General features: G+C 49.9%; 1 protein-coding gene across 22 annotated transcripts in view, besides 2 other annotated features; it reads right to left on the bottom strand.

The window, feature by feature from the left end:
- NINL (ninein like) overlaps positions 1-17,072 on the bottom strand; it is a 132,835-nt gene that overhangs the window by 48,716 nt on the left and 67,047 nt on the right. For 19 of the 22 annotated variants that reach the window (XR_007067446.1, XR_007067445.1, NM_001318226.2 and 16 more), the window contains exons 3-7: positions 16,341-16,437; positions 11,422-11,594; positions 9,262-9,328; positions 3,476-3,666; positions 2,540-2,692 (exon numbers count right to left, since the gene is read on the bottom strand). Coding sequence is in view for 20 of the 22 variants with exons in the window: in NM_001318226.2 (NP_001305155.1) it covers positions 2,540-2,692; positions 3,476-3,666; positions 9,262-9,328; positions 11,422-11,594; positions 16,341-16,437 (681 nt within the window). In the remaining 2 variants the exon portion in view is untranslated. Of the gene's footprint in view, positions 1-2,539; positions 2,693-3,475; positions 3,667-8,257; positions 8,378-9,261; positions 9,329-11,421; positions 11,595-16,340; positions 16,438-17,072 lie in introns of those variants that run through there. The other 3 variants (XM_047440029.1, XM_047440028.1, XM_011529191.1) reach the window with 2 other exon arrangements.
- Positions 1,941-2,452: an enhancer, noted in NCBI's record as "H3K27ac-H3K4me1 hESC enhancer chr20:25483989-25484500 (GRCh37/hg19 assembly coordinates)". NCBI's record gives its function as "activates a minimal SCP1, AML or CMV promoter by ChIP-STARR-seq in primed H9 embryonic stem cells {active_cell/tissue: H9 hESC(primed)}" and the evidence as "EXISTENCE:reporter gene assay evidence [ECO:0000049][PMID:30033119]".
- Positions 6,681-6,975: an enhancer, noted in NCBI's record as "tiled region #10548; HepG2 Activating DNase matched - State 5:Enh". NCBI's record gives its function as "activates a minimal TATA promoter and a strong SV40 promoter by Sharpr-MPRA in HepG2 cells {active_cell/tissue: HepG2}" and the evidence as "EXISTENCE:reporter gene assay evidence [ECO:0000049][PMID:27701403]".

Below are 17,072 nucleotides of genomic sequence, written 5' to 3' on the forward strand. Positions count from 1 at the left end.
CAGGAAAGTCTCAGCTGTGAAAAGAAACCCAAGGCAGGCTGGAAGGGCAGAAGTGCGCTGGCCCAGGCAGAGGCGCACACACCCCCAGACCCTCAGAATGCAGCATGAGTGGCTCATGGCCACTCATGGGGTTCGACAATGAAGGCAAGCCAGCTCAGGAGGCATCTCCCCAACCCACACTAAGCATGACCTGTGGGACCTCATGTTGATCATTCTGGCCTTACATGGCTGCCTGACCCTTCCTCAGTGCTGGCTTCTGAGTTTCTTCTTTGTCGTTCTCACTGATGTTAGCCTCACTGCAGCCTCCACCTCCTGGACTCAAGTGATCCTCCTGCTCAGCCTCCCAAGTAGCTGGGACCATAGGCATGTGCAACCGCACCTAGATAATTTTCAAATCTTTGAGATGGGGTCTCACAATGTTGTCTCATCTTCTCTCAAACTCCTGGGCTCAAGTGATCTGCTTGCCTTGGCCTCCCAGACTGCTGGGACTACAGGCATGAGCACTGTGCCGGGTCCTCATTGATTTTTTTCACCAGGTTTCTAAATTATTTAGGTTTTTAAATTAAATTAAATTTATTTATTTATTTGAGCCAGAGTCTCACTCTGTCACCCACGCTGGAGTGCAGTGATGCGATCTCAGCTCACTGAAACTTCTGCCTCCTAGGTTCAAGTGATTCTCCTGCCTCAGCCTCCTGAGTAGCTGGGATTACACATGTGTACCACCACAAGTGGCTAATTTTTGTAGTTTCACTAGAGACAGGGTTTTACCATGTTAGCCAGGCTGGTCTCCAACTCCTGACCTCAAATGATCCGCCCGCCTTGGCCTCCCAAAGTGCTGGTATTACAGACGTGAGCCACCATGCCCGGCCCTCATTGACTTTAGAGTCAGAAACCTAGATTCTCAGGTGTACCTACCCCCAGTGCAGAACAGCACTACTGGTCCTACAACACCACTCACCAAATTCAGGACCAATTGCAGCAGCAAGGAAGTATCCAGCCCCTGAGCAGCCATGCCCTGGTCTCCTCAAACTGCAGAGAGACCCGGTATTTGTGCAAGAGATAGAGCACAGGTTAAGGGATACTATCAGGACCAATCTTAGACAGACTCGATGGATCCTTTGGCAACTGATATGGCTTAGATCTGTGTTCCTGCTCAAATCTCATATTAAAATGTAATCCCCGATGTTGGAGGTGGGGCCTGGTGGGAGGTGACTGGATCTTGGAGGCAGATTTCTCACAAATGGTTTAGCACCATCCCTCTTAGTACTGACCTCATGATAGTGAGTGAATTCTCATGAGACCTGGTTGTTTAAAAGTGTGTCACACCTCCCCCCTCGCTTTCTTGCTCCTGCTCTGGCCATGTGACCTGCCTGCACCCCTTCACCTTCTGCCATGATTGTAAGCTTCCTGAGGCCTCCCCAGAAGCAGCCGAGCAGACACTGGCACCATGCTTCCTGCACAGCCTGCAGAATCGTGAGTTAATTAAACCTCTTTTCTTTATAAATTGCCCAGTCTCAAGTATTCCTTTAGCAATGCGAGAACAGACTAACACAGAAACATTGCCCTCACCATTCCACAATGGGGAGGACGGGAGGGAGTTTTCTTGCTGGGGCATATCACAGCACAGGCTGAGGAGCTGCCACATTCCTCACCTGAGCACTACCTTCTGTAGCCCTGGGAAGTGGGCACCTGAGCAGCATGTTCCTCACCTTAACACTGCCTCCTGTAATCCCAGCAGGTGGGCACCTGAGCAGCAAGTTCCTCACCTGAGCACTGCCTCCTGTAACCCCAGCAGGTGGGCACCTGAGCAGCACGTTCCTCACCTGAGCACTGCCTCCTGTAACCCCAGCAGGTGGGCACCTGAGCAGCCATGTTCCTCACCTGAGCACTGCCTCCTGTAACCCCAGGAGGTGGGCACCTGAGCAGCCATGTTCCTCACCTGAGCACTGCCTCCTGTAACCCCAGGAGGTGGGCACCTGAGCAGCACGTTCCTCACCTGAGCACTGCCTCCTGTAACCCCAGGAGGTGGGCACCTGAGCAGCACGTTCCTCACCTGAGCACTGCCTCCTGTAACCCCAGGAGGTGGGCACCTGAGCAGCACGTTCCTCACCTGAGCACTGCCTTCTGTAGCCCCAGGAGGTGGGCACCTGAGCAGCACGTTCCTCACCTGAGCACTGCCTTCTGTTGCATCGGGTGGGCACCTGAGCTGCCATGTTCCTCAGCTGAGCATTGCCTTCTGTAGTCCCAGGAGGTGTGCACCCGAACCACCCCCATCTTACACGTGAGCCTGAGGCTTGGAGAAGGTAACTCCCCTAGTGACACACAGCCAGGGAAGAGCAACACTGGACCCACCCCAAATCTATGTGGCTCCAGAATCTACGTCACGTGGCCTCCCATATACATGCGTGTGTGCATGGCCTGTCCAGTTCTTGGACAGCTTGTTGTGTGGTGACACAGGCAGGGAGGGAGTCAGCAGTTTTAGTCACCAGAGAGTGACAGCAGTGGTTGCTGGGTTCAGGATTTAACTGTTGCATTTTACCTGGTAATGAGACCAAGCCTTGCTCGGTTTAACCCGAGTGGAAGACTCTAGAAGTAGCGCGGGCTCATGACTGAAGAGGCCAAGCTGGAATTCCTCAAGACTCACTTTGCCGTCTCCGTCTTGATCCAGTTTGTTAAACAGGTCTTCGAGTTCCTAAACAAAAGCCGTCATATCTCAGGCCCACCCACAAGAGCTCCACCCAACCGCCCTCACCAGGGCCTCCCTCCCTCCCTCCCTCTGGTTCCAAGTACCCAACAAGGGCCGTTTCCTAGTCTTATCCAGCCTTAAAACTGTGTAGACCATGCGGGCTATATTTTCCCAAGCCGACCCCTCCCTCTATCTTGTAAAACCCACAGGCCTTGGTTTCCATTTCACTGTGAGTGGGTGTCACCTGAACTTCCCAGTTCTACAAATGCTTATTCAGTGTCTGCTGGGGCTGGATCCTGCGGGATGCTGAGCAAGGCCAGGCCCTGCAGTGTGAGGCCCAGCAAGGACACAGGGCTGAGAAGAACTCCAGCAAGGCAGACTGGCCTCCCACCCAGGAGGAGAAGGAACATGGCCACTGGAGAGTGAGGACAGGCTTGGGGGCCTTGTCTTGGAGGCCTTGTCTTGGCTGCGCAGTGGAACCCGGCCACACAGAGAAGGGGGAAAGGCATCCAGGCAGAGGAAGGATGTCAGTGAAGGAACAGGAAGTGCCTGCTACACCTGAGCGTGGCAGGGAGTCGGTGAGACTGGGCAACTCCATCAGAGACGGGCTTTCAAAGGTGTCTGGAGATTTTAGCCTTTGGCAGAAATGCCAAGAGCCACCAAAGGATTTTAGATTAGAAAGTGATGCACCTACATGAGTGGCTGAAGGGTAGAGGGGTTTCCAGACCCAACACTAAACCGTGACCATGGCCAGGAATATGTGGCTGGGTGGCCTGCTGTGCCCCTCACCTCTTTCTCGAGTCCCTGGAGCCCGACGCTCTGGCAGACCACAGCCAGCTCCTGCTCGCTCAGGTGTCCGCTGCTGCCCACCCCCAGCTCTTCCCACACGCCCCGGATCTGGCTCTCTGGGGTGTCAAAGGAGGGGCTGCAGGACTTCTGGGGGCTCCCAAAGTCCTCAGAATCCCAGGTCTGCAGCTGTCCTGAAGCAAGGGAGGAGTCACAGTTACACCCTGATACATACACAATGGAGCACGACTCAGCCTTAGAAAGAAGGACGTTCTGCCCTTTCCAACAGCGTGAATGAATGTGGAGGACATTACGCTAAGTGAAATTAGCAGACACAGAAAGACAAACACCGTGAGATCTCACTCACATGTGGGATCTAAGGAAAGGGGAACTCACAGGAGCAGGGTGTAGAAGGGTGGCTACAGAGCTGGGTGGTGGGGGAGATGCTGGTTGGGGGGGGGTCACTTTCAGTTACAAGATGAGTAAGTTCTGGAGTCACCTAATGTACAGCACGGTGACTACAGTTAATAAGATCCGATTGCTTCCTTGAAGTTTGCTAAGAGAGTCTATCTCAAGTGTTCTCAGCACACACACATAACTAGGTGAGATGGACGTGTTAACTGGCTGGACTGTGGTCATCATTTCACAATGTACACATGTCTCAGATCATCACATTGTACACCTTAAATATATACAATTTTTATTTGTCAATCACACCTCAATAAGGCTGGGGAGAAAAACCAGCAACAGTTAAGTCCTGTGCTCCAGGCTGAAGCATTTCGGGGAAGCACAGCAATGCTGGTCAGTGACTCTGAAATCAGATGGATTGATGGATAGAGGGCTGGATGGATGGACAGATAGCAGGATGGATGGACAGACAGAGGGATGGATGGACGGACAAAGGGGAGCTGCAAAGCACCAAAGGTGGAATTAGGTGGTTGGTACATGGGTTTTCATGCCACAGTTGTTTGCACTTCACTCTGTTTACAAATTTTCAAAATAAATCTTGGGGGAAAATATCTGCCTGTAATGGGGAAAATTCTTTCTGAAGAGAACCTTCTATGGTCAGCCATGCAAGCACTTAAAAGAGGCAGAGGGGCTGGGCGCGGTGGCTTACGCCTGTAATCCCAGCACTTTGGGAGACCAAGGCGGGTAGATCACGAGGTCAGGAGTTCAAGACCAGCCTGGCCAAATTGGTGAAACCCCGTCTCTACTAAAAATACAAAAATTAGCCGGGTGTGATGGCAGCCGCCTGGAATCCCAGCTACTCGGGAGGCTGAGGCAGAGAACTGCATGGACCCAAGAGGCGGACATTGCAGTGAGCCGAGGTCACATCACTGCACTCCAGCCTGGGCTACAGAAGAATACTCTGTCTCAGAAAAAAAAGAGGGTGAGGGCTCTATTATTTGTATTTACAATAAAAAGACCAGTCTTTCAATAGCTTAATTTTTGAAAACTTTTCTAACTTACACAGAGCAAAGAGTAAAGTGAAGCCCACAGCACCTGCTGCTCAGACTGCACTATGACAGCAGCCTGCCACAGGCTTCTTCTCTACCCGCTTTTCTTACGGCTGAAGTGTTTAGAAGTACAGATGCTCCCCGACTTATGATGGAGCTACAGCCCAGCAACCCCACCATAAGCTGAAAATGTCAAGTCAAAGATGTGCTGAATATACCTAACCCACCAACATCGTAACTGGGCCTGGCCTACCTTACACATCTCAGAACACATTAACCAACAGTGGGGCAAAATTCTCTAACACAAAGCCTATTTTAGACTAATGTGTTCAATGTCTCATGTAATCTACTGAACACTGTACTGAAAGTGAAGATCACAACGGTCCCATGGACACTGAAGGACGGCTTCTACTGAATGCATATTGACCTCACACCATCAAGAAGTTGAAAAATCGTTGAGTCAAAACATCATGAGTCTGGATCCATCTGGGGTATCTGAAATCGCAGATCTCATGTTACTTCTGCCCCACATATTTGATTCATATCTCTAGAAAAAATATATATATTCTTACATCACCGCAATGCCACTATCATACCTAACAAAATCAACAGGATTTTCCCAAGTGTCTCAAACATATATTCTTACAGTTGATTTGTTTGAACCAGCATCCAAACTGTTCAGGATGCCCTTGGCTGTTATTCCTCTCACATCTTTCAACCACAAACACCTCTCCCAAATCCCCATAGCCCATGCCTTTTTAAAGAAATCAGACCCACTGTTTTGTGGAATGTTCCACATCCGGATCTATCTGCTTGCTTCCCCAGGGTGTCATCTAATGAGCTCCTCCATCCTTAACATTTCCTGAAAACCTGAGTTAGCATCAAAGTCTAGTTTGCTGCAGCCTCAACATTTTTTTTTTTTGCAGGTGGTGCTGTGTCCTCCGCACACCTCACTCAGGAGGCACTGGTGTCTTTAGGACTCATCAGCGGGCTCAGGTGGTGGATGGCCACTTTTCCTAACCTTTGTCTTCAGCCGCTTATCTTCTTGATGTGTTTGAAGCTGTGGAAACAGCTTGAGAATGAGGACAGACACTGGGTGTCCAGCAGAAAGTGTCCATGGTGAGTTATATGTCCAGCCAGACATGTTCCTATGGTGAGCTATGTGTCCAGCCAGACATGTTCCTCTATGCCTCATCCACACCACCTAGCCCAGAGCAGGGACATGGCTGCTTCCACCCAACACAGACTTTAGTGTTGCAGTTCTGCTTCAGCAGTCTGGATCCTTCAGGTAGATGAGCCATGTGGGTGTGAATTACTGATAACCCTGCTGGTAACGGGAAAGCCACCATCCCCCAAAGGAAGCCAGACTGTGTGCTCACAAATGACACTGTGGGTTGGGTTGAGGAAAACAAGAGGAAAGGGATGGGTAAGAAAAGGCCACCTTCGAGGTCCCTTCCGGCCTAAGATGCCTGAAATCTCCAAGGAAAAATGTGAAAGCAATCCTGATACTGGGTTATTTCTTAGGCTGGCAGAAGAGGTCGGGCAAGTCCTCTGAGCTTGACACGAGTGTGTGTGCACTACCGTCTGTCAGCTCTGATCCTGTACAAAGGTTTCTGTAAACTGCTGGAAGGAACCCCAACCTGGTTGGGGCAGAGAACACTGAAATTGCTGGGTGAAAAACAGCCTCCTGCGAGCCCTTCCCTTCGCTGCTCTAGATCTAGACATCAAGTTCAAGGATGTAAGACACGGCAGCTTGGCTGACTTTTCTCAGCACACAGGAATCTGCCTGCTTTGTCCAGCACCACAGCTGGAAGCTCAGGTCAGTTTCCCTGACATTTACTGAGACAAAAGTTGAACAAAAAATGGCCCTGGCATTCAAGGATCATGGTCCAAGGGGTGCTGTTTACTTTGGCAGAAATCCCAGGGCAATGCCCTCTATCCAAGCTATGTTTCTGCACAGTCAGCCCACGTAACCGCCTGTGTGGGGAGGCCTCATTAGGGCATCCACTGACTCACACAGAAAAGCCTGGAAAGACAGTAAAACTGCTCACAGGACTAAGGAATACAGACCAGTGCTACTCCCTGCCCTGCATGGTCAGCGGCCTGCCTGGCCTGCAGCCCAGCCCAGGGCAAAGGGAATGGCGGGGCACCCTGTCTGGAGTTGGGGGTTCCCGGGGTACAGGGCACTGACTGGGAGCCACTGACCCTGCCCACACCTCACCAGTGGGATCCAGTGCAGCCTGATGACTTCCTGGGATGGCTTCATGCCTCCTACAAGGGGACACACGCAATGCTGCCACCCTGGTCCTTCTACAACAGGGGGAGCTGGGGGGCGCTGGCAGCCTGAAGAGGGCTCTCGGCATTCAGCCGGGCTCCAGCCTCTCCTCCCCAGTCACCTGCATCCCTGCACCCTGAAACACTAGCTCCTTTCATCACTGCCTCCTCAAAGGCCATGGCAGCATCCTGCACTCCCTACACCTGCACCGTACATGCCTGGCTGCTAAGGATCCCGCAGTTTGCTCCCTACACGTCCATCAATGCCTCCGGCCTTCCTCTTTCCTGAAGCACATGACACCCCCCTGTTCTAACTTTGCCCCTCTTTGCCTTCCCTCTTCCTTTCAGCCTGCCCATGTGAGGCAGTTTGGAAATGTGGCTTCAAATTTCTTTGACACTCTTCCCTTCAGGTCTGTGTCCCTTCTCCTTGAATCTGGTAGGCTTGTGACAGCTCTGATCAATAGAATGTGGTGGAAGGGATGCTTTGTGACTTTGAGGCTGGCCTGAACTCAGTGAGGAAATCCCAGCCCTGTTTTTGGGACCACATGTCCTTAGTGCCCTAAGCCACCAGGTGAGACAGTTGACTATCTTCAGCCGCCATGCTGTAAGGAAGCCCAGCCACGCTGAGGCCTGCTGCAACCCCTCCGAGACTGTCCTCAGCTGAGCTCCTCCAGCCCAGACGCATCAGTGACGCTTCATATGATTTCAGACCCAGCCTTCAAGTGTCCCAACAGAGGCCCCAGATGCAATGCAGTCCATCCTAAGTCTCTCACCTTCTCCAATCCTTCCTTGAGCACTGCAGCCCTGCTCCTTGGAGAAGCTCTGCAGCAGCAGTGTAAAAGCTTGTGCTGTGATTGTAAGGGCCTGGTGTGAACCTCAGCTCTTGTTCCCAAGCTCGGCAAGACCTCACTCCTGAGCCCCAAGCTGCTCTGAGAGGAGGGATGCTCAGATTATGCCAAGCCTGCTGCAAGGGTTAGCCAGGCTGCCAGCTTCACACCTGGGTAGTTCCTTAGAGCTCAGCGTCTGGCCACCACACTGATCCTCTCACACCCACCTTTCTGTGGGGCCCCTTTCTTCACTCTTGCAGGCATCATGTAAGTCAGCAGTAACTTCCACAGAATCTTCTGTTTTCACATTGTTTGCATAGGTGTTGGTCTTTTCTATCCAAAATACTCTAGGATTCATAATTAATATATTTGTTTGCTTTTTAATGTCAAGGAAGTATTATAGGCAAACACAAGATAATTAAAATTAAAAAGAAGTCCTCCCTTCCCAGAGCCTTTGTTCCTCTCCCCAGGGGGATCCACTGGGAAGTTTTTTTGCCTAGCTTTCTGTCCCCATGACATATGTAATGCATGTCCCTCCAGAAATGCGGTGAGGGAGCTGAAGTCTCAATCATGCTCCTGCATGTAGCTTATCTTCCCAAAATGCCAGATCTTGCAGAGGGCACCACGGCAGCATGGATGGTCAGCCTCCCCTTGCACGCTGCACAGCGCTGTGAGGCTGCATGCTATGATTTGCTTATGTGTACCAGCTGCTGGCCTTCTGGCTGCTATGTAAGGCTCTGAGCTCCAGGACCAGGTATTACACTCCATTTGTGAGACAGATAAAACCCTGGTGGGTGCTGAGACTGCCCCTGCACAGCAAGGGAGAGGCTGTATCTAGCCCAGCGTGCCAGGAAGGAGGTGCAGGGGCAGTCTGAGGTGACAGGGCCAAGCAAGGCCCTCCTGCCTGAAACCACAGGGCCACACCTGCCAGCTGGGGTCACATCAGTACTTGCAGACCATAAAGTGTGACGAACCACGATGCTCCCTCGGCCACGGGCCTCTGCCCCTGGGTCTGACCTTGGGAGGATGAGGACCGAGTGACGGCCTCACTGCTGTGATGATGACATTCTGACCACTCCTGCAGGAGGAAGAATCCAGCGGGACACAACCCACCCCATGCATTTCCCAGGAAATTAAACTTGTGGTTGCACACTGCCCAATGACCCGGCTGTTCAGCTTTCAAAGCTCTGGGCAAAGGCAGAGAGCACTGAATGCGAGGCTGAGGCTTTACCTTGTGCTTCAAATAATTCATTCTGAGCTTCTTTAGTGCTCTCGGCCTCTTCATCTGACTTGGGACTCTGTAGAAAGATGCAGAGAGAAGGCTGTGAGTTCCAGGGGGTGCTGCTGGGGACGGAGCACCGGGAACAAATAGAGCAGGATGTTTGGGGAAGTGGGGGATGGCTGAGTATGGAGTCAATCCCTCAGAGGAAAAGCCCACCCCCACCTTGGGGCTGCCCTGCATGCCAGCTAGCAGACCCAGGTGAGCCCCGCCTAGCAGCAGCAAGGGGCTGGGCCGGGGAGACAGGGGACATGCCTTGTTCTGCACGCTCGGGGCTCCTCAATATAAACCCAGTCATCAACAGTTGACACTGAAAATACAATCAAACACTCGTGTCATAGCAGCACAGAAGCTGTCCCCCTCTGCATGGTGATGGCTTCAGACCCAGCACTTGAAAGAAGCCAGCCCTGCAGCCACAGCCAATCATTCAGTCTCAGGACACGCTCGCCATACAAGGCTTGCAACACGCCTCTCTGCACCTTTCCCTCACCAACCATATCAGTTCAGCAAACAGTCGCAAGGTGAGAGCAGGTTTCTGTATCCCTCCAAGGGCTCCGGGATAGCACAGCGCCTGGTAACCACCTCACACTCCAGCAGCCTTTGCAAATCTGTACCCAAGACAAGAGCCCGGGCCATCAAGAAACACGCGACTTAAGTAAAAACCTCGTGCTGCAGTGACTGCGTCAGCCAACTGGAATCAAAGTCTGATTTGTCCAGGTGTTGTGTGTCCCCACAACTGACTGTGGAATGGATGCCTGGTGACCAAGACTCTGTATGCTTCAAAGCTGGCACTGGCTCTGATCAGGGAGAATCTGTGAGTTGGTGATAAATACGCAACCCCATTTTTTTAATGAGTTCAACTCCACTGACAACCCTAAAGGCGGCTTTCCCCGTGTTCAGGTTTTGAGAATCAAAGATGATTTAAGAAGCAGAATGGCACCAATGAAGATCCACCACAAGGAGGAGATTCACTATCTCTCCATCCCTGAGGTCCAAATTTTTAAAAAAGAACAAAAAAGGAATGTTCTGGATTTACTGGCATCGCCTAGATGTCACATGCCCCTGAGAAAAAAGACTCTAAGATTTAAATATATTTTGGTTGTTTTCCCTCTTTGTCTCCACAAATGTTGAAAACAAATGGTAAACAAGTCCACCTGGGGGCCCGACCTGTCTAAGAAGGATGTGCTCCTGATCGAGACCCACCTGGCAGAAGCTGAGAGCACAGAGAGCAGGAACCAGGAACCTTTTGGAATCCTTGAAAATGGTTCGACCCAATCCATGATTAACTTACAAGCTGTGGACCTGCCCCATGGACATATTTCTTAACGTGAAGCCCCACGAGACTCTGGCAGCCATCTCCTGGGCCCATCCCCCTCTCCTTGGGTGATCCCTGCATCCCAGGCACCTGCAGCAAATGACCCAGGGAGCCTGGGGGACAGGGAAGCAACTTCCAAGGCCCCAGGACGCATTGGCTCATACAGGCCAGTTGTAAGTGCTGGGCCTCAGTATAACTAAGTGTTCAAGATAAGTAGGGCTGGGAGTTGACACACTCACACTCCTAACCTCGAGGCTGTTTCAAAAAGGCTTCTTCCCTTTTCTACTCTTAGCACATTGACGCTTCACTCCCATGAAGCCATAAACATTGCCTCCTAGAGTTGGTGGTAGTATCGGGAAAGAGAGATGTTGTATACAAAGGATTCATGATAGTGAGTTCTCATGAGATCTGGTTGTTTAAAAGTGTGTAGCACCTCTCCCTGCTCTCTATTCCTCCTTCTCCAGTCATGTAAGACATGCCTGCTTCCCCTTTGCCTTCCGCCACGATTGTGAGTTTCCTGAGGCATCCCCAGCCATGCCTCCTGCACAGTCTGAGGAAATTCTCTATTGCACTAATTCAGGAGAGAACCCTGTGTCCAGGACTGTCCTGAAGACAACCAGACCCAATTTAAATGAAATGGCACTCCCCAAAGTGACCAAGCTTCTGGCGACTCAGGGTGCCTGAGACGGTGGCTGCCCTCCCCATATCTTGTGATTATGTGCTACAAAAAGGGATGAAGGGAAGCATTTGTTATTCCCAACACTGGGCAGCTGGGGTGGGAGAGGGGCCTGACCCACCTCCACGCTCTCCAGAGACGCTGAGCGCCAGAGGTGACTTTTCAGGCTGGCCTGGGTTTGCTGCTCCGGCACGCGTCTGGCTTCTGTGGCAGCGTCACATAGCTCAGGCCGGCTCCGACGGCCATACCACTTAGAACCATTCACATACTTTGGAGGGATGGCACTGGAGGCAGCTGGAAAGGAAACAGGAAATTTGGTGGGGGTCCTTTATAGCAGTTCTGGGCCCATGCAGGCCAGCAGGTACCCTCTGAGAAGGTGCACACTCAGCACCGAGTGTGCCCCTCAAACACGTACTGCTCTGCACACAGAAGCATCTGGAAAGACACGAGAAACAGTGAACAATGGCAATTCTATGACCTTGGGTGGGAGACTGAGAAAGCAAGGGTGGGGAGAGGAGGACTTTCCCCTAAACTCTGTATGCTATTTACACTTTTTCAAGCATATTTTGCTTTTATGTAATGAAAAACTAATACGAAACCTAGCTATCTATGCAAAGGAGCAATAAAACCTCCAATAATCCAACAACATATAGCCGATGATCACCTGACTCTCAGTATACTGAGTGAACACGCTAAATGTCAAGTGACATTCCAGGCAGCTGACAATAACACAGGGTGACCAGAATATCTCTCACCCCACTGGGACAGAGTCATCATGAGCCTTATTAACAATCATCCCAAGACAGCAGGCACCATCAAGGACTGGCCTAGCACACTCTCACCAGAAGGGTCTGAGCATATGGGAAGTTAATATAGTTTGACTTTGTGTCCCCACCCAAATCTCATGTCAAATTGTAACCCTCAGTGTTGGAGGAGGGGCCTGGTGGGAGGTGATTGGATCATGCAGGTGGATTTCCCAATTGCTGTTCTCATCATACTGAGTTCTCATGAGATCTGGTTGTTTAAAAGTGTGTAGCACCTCCCTCTGCTCTCTCTTCCTCCTTCTCCAGTCATGTAAGACATGCCTGCTTCCCCTTTGCCTTCCGCCATGATTCTGAGTTTCCTGAGGCATCTCCAGCCATGCCTCCTGTACAGTCTGAGGAACTGTGAGTCAATTAAAACTCTTCTTTAAAAATAAATTACCCAGTCTCAGGTAGTTCCTTATAGCAATGTGAAAACAGACTAATACAGAAAATTGGCACCAGGAGTGGAGCATTGCTACAAAGATACATGAAAATGTGGAAACAGCTTTGGAATTGGATAACAGGCAGAAGTTGGGACGGTTTAGAGGGCTCAGAAGAAGACAGAAAGACGTGGGAAAGTTTGTAACCTTCTAGAGACTTGTTAAACTGATGTGACCAAAATGCTAATAGTGATATGGACAATGAAGTCCAGACTGCAGTGGTCTCAAATGGAGATAAGGAGCATATTGGGAACTGAAAAAAGGTCACACTTGCTACGCTTTAGCAAAGAGCCTGGTGGCTTGCACCCTCTGGAACAAGCCACCTCTACCCTAGAGATCTGTGCAACTTTGAACTTGAGAGAAATGATTTGGAGTATCTGATGGAAGAAATTTTTAAGCAGCAAGGCATTCAAGATGTGCCCTGGCTGCTTCTAACAGCATAAGCTTATATTCATGAGCAAAGAGATGATCTGAAACTAAAACATATTTAAAAGGGAAGCAAAGTGTGAAAGTTTGGAAAATTTGCAGCCTGGCCATGTGGTAGAGAAGAAAAATCCATTTTCAGGGGAGGAAGGAACTCAACTCAACTGCAGAAATTTGTAATAGTAAAGAGGAGCCGGATGTTAATATCTAAGACAATGGAAGAAATGCCTGGAAGGCATTTCAGAGAGCTTCATGGCAGTCCCTCCCATCACCAGCTCACAGGCCAAGGAGGAAAGAATGGTTTCATGGGCTGGAGATAGAGCACCGCTGCCCTGTGCAACCTTGGGACACTGCTCCCTACGTCCCAGCTGCTCCAGCTCCAGCCATGGCTAAAAGGGGCCAAAAATATCTCAGGCTGCTGTTCCAGAGGGTGCAAGCCATAAGCCTTGGTGACTACCATGTTGTGTTGAGCCTGCAGGTGGACGGAGGGCAAGAGTTGAGGCTTGGGAGCTTCCACTTAGATTTCAGAGGATATATGAAGACATCTGATGTCCAGGCAGAAGTCTGCTGCAGGGACGGAGCCCTCATGGAGAACCTCTATTAGGGCTGTGTAGAGGGGAAATATGGGGTTGGGGCCCACCCAGAGTCCCCACTGGGCACTGCCTAGTGGAGCTGTGAGAAAAGGGTCACTGTCCTCCAGACCCTAGAATGGTAGATCCACTGATAGCTTGCACTATGCACCTGGAAAAACCACAGGCACTCAACATCAGCCCATGAAAGCAACCACAGGGCCTGTATCCTGCAGAGACACAGGATGGGAGCCCACCCCTTGCATTGGTGTGGCCTGGATGTAAGACATGGAGTCAAAGGAAATTATTTTAGAGCTTTAATATTTAATGACTGCCCTGCTGGGTTTCAGACTTGCATGGGGCCTGTAGCCCCTTTGTTTTGGCCAATTTCTCCCTTTTGGAACAGGAACATTTACCCAATGCCTGTATCCCCATTGTATCTTGGAAGTACCTATCTAGTTTTTTATTCTACAGGCTCATAGGCGGAAGGGACTTGCCTTGTCTCAGATGAGACTTTGGACTTGGGTTTTTGAGTTAATGCTGGAATGAGTTAAGACTCTGGGAGACTTGTTACAAGGCATGATTGTGTTTTGAAATGTGAGAAGGACATGCATGAGATTTTGCGGGGGGTGTGCAGGGTGAAATGATATGGTTTGGCTGTGTGTCCCCACCCAAATCTCATGTTGAATTTAATTCCCAATGGTGGAGGAAGGGCCTGGTAGGAGGTGATTGAATCATGGAGGCAGAACTTCCCCCTTGCTGTTTTTGTGACAGTGAGTGAGTTCTCATGAGATCTGGTTATTTTTTTATTGTTGTTTGTTTGTTTTTGTTTTGTTTTTTTGAGACAGAGTCTCTCTCTGTCACCCAGGCTGGAATGCAGTGGTGCAATCTCGGCTCACTGCAAGCTCCACGTCCCAGGTTCACACCATTCTCCTGCCTCGGCCTCCCAAGTGTCTGGGACAACAGGCAACTGCCACCATGCCCGGCTAATTTTTTTGTATTTTTTTTTAGTAGAGACGGGGTTTCACCATGTTACCAGGATGGTCTCGATCTCCTGACCTCGTGATCTGCCCGCCTCAGCCTCCCAAAGTGCTGGGATTACAGGTGTAAGCCACCACACCCAGCCCAAGATCTGGTTGTTTAAAAGTGTGTAGCACCTCCCGCTTCACTCTATTCCTCCTGCTCTGCCATGTGAAGACGTGCCTGCTTCCCCTTTGCCTTCCACCATGATTGTTCCTGAGGCCTCCCCAGCCATGGTTTCTGTACAGCCTGCAGAACTGTGAGTCAATTAAACCTCTTTTCTTCATGAATTACCCAGTCTCAGGTAGTTTCTTATAGCAATATGAGAACAAACTAATACAGAAGTGTTGATAAGGAATAGGACCATTTAGTTGAGGAACACTTTAAAATTCTAATTGGAAAAGAAAGAAAAAGAAAAAGAAAGAAAAAATAGAATTGAAACAGGTGAGAAAAAGCACAAGTTCCGAACAGTTTGTTGTTTCTTTGGAAGCACTGACAACATGTCCCACAGGTTGAGACAATTTTAAGCTTAGATGCGCCCACCATGCACCAAGGAGAAGGACCTTCTGTGTTCTCCAGCACAGATGGGAAAATACAACATCAGAGGACCAGGCTGTCACCTCCTTGAGGTGCTTTGATATCTTTGATCATACCTCCAAGCTCCTGTGCCTTAGGGAGAGTAGGGAGCCCTTTCACATCTTAAAGAAGGAAAGTGTGAATTGGAGCAACTTACACCTCACCCAGGTCATGCATATGGCTAGTGGGGGGCTGACTCTGAACCCAAGGCTTCTCCTCCCATCCCAGGGCTCCTTACCAGCACCTCTGCAACCAGCAAGAGGAAGTGGGAAGGGGCAACCACCAGCACACAGCAGAAGGAGCGGGGTCTGGCAACAGTGCACACACAAGGGCCCAGGACTTCAAGCTGGAGAACCGGGACCCAAATCCTGGCCATCGCTTACTAACTGTGGAATGGTGAATGAATCTCTTCTCACCTGGGGCCTCAGTTTCCTCATCTGAATAATGGGTATGGTAAGTAATACCACAGGATTTCTATGAGGGTTAAATGGACTCTTTGTAAACGTACACAAAGCTCAATGCCATACGCTCACACAGAAAACCTCTGTGTGAGCCTGGTCCCTTCCGCTTTCCCGTCCTCTGTCCCAAACCCTGTGACAGCCTTGTCTACTGCCACACACCCCTCCTGACCAGGACATCCTGCTGTGAGACACGAGGGAAGTGCTCCCTATGTGACACACTAAATAATACCACAAACACAACACCCCTGCAAAAGGGAAAGAGCCACCCCCATTTCACACCCTCCTGACACGGGGCCATCTGCAACCAAGAAGCAGGCCACCACTACCTCACCACTCCAGGCCTGGGCAGCCCTCCCTCTGACCTTGCCCACAGCCTGTTACCATCCCAGCACCTTGAGGCTGAAACCAAGGCCAGGTGGCTTTCTCCAAGGATGCCACTTCCACTTAGGGACATAGCCTGTGTCCCAGCAGCCCTGTCCCTGTAACAGGATTCCGATCAGTCACATTAGCACAGTGCAGTGTCATCATCCATGGCGGGCACAGTGCACGTTATTATATGACACTATTTCACAAATAAACCAAGGAAGAGAAAACATCAAGTGTTTTTTCCAAGTCCATATACCTTGGGGGTGACAGAAAGTAAGGTAGAATTCAGTTTTCAGAACTGCTGGATTCTTTCATTAGAATATTACACTCCAAAAGTTAACAAACAAATAATGAAAAGAAAACACAGAGGAAATCCTCTTACCTGATTCCAAAGAACTACTGTCTTCATCTGAGGGGCGAACACCAGCATTTGAAGACAACACAGCCACAAAACCTTCCTTAAATTCCTCAAAGTTAACCTGGGTGAATTGAAGGTGAGAGAGGACAATGTCACTTTCAACAGATCACACAATTCAAAAGTGACTCTTTTGGATTTTCTCTCAGATAGAAATATATTATTACTGCCTTTTAGAATGAGAACATTCACGTTTTCAAATATTTACTTAAGATTTTTAAAAACAGAAGAGCATGATAAGGAAAGTAGAAGTGGACCATAATCCTACCACCAAATAAACACTATCAACAATTTTGTAAATCAAACAACATAATTAGGAAAGAGGGATCTGATGACCACGAAACGTTACACATAAGGTGAACGCCCATGGCATCCCCAACGCCACCAGCACTGCAGAAGGCGTCTCCGCCACGACCCTTCCCCCTACATCTCCTGAACCCTACCCTGACTTTTATGGTGACAGCTTCCTCGCTTTTCTAGACCTCATTTGCATGCATGCCTAAAGCTTGGTTTCATTTGGCTTCTCTGTGTCCTCAGAAGCTTTGCTATAGTACCCACCTGAGGAGGGGATTGCTGGGCCATAGAATGTGCCCTATTGGCACATTCCCTTGGTGAACTGAACCTTTTATTATAACAAAATGCTCACACTCTTTAATACAGTAAAGCTTTTCACCTTAAGGTCCATTTTCTCTTTTAACA

The sequence above is a fragment of the Homo sapiens genome, chromosome 20, assembly GCF_000001405.40.
Source record: "Homo sapiens chromosome 20, GRCh38.p14 Primary Assembly".
Classification (NCBI taxonomy): Eukaryota; Metazoa; Chordata; class Mammalia; order Primates; family Hominidae; genus Homo; species Homo sapiens.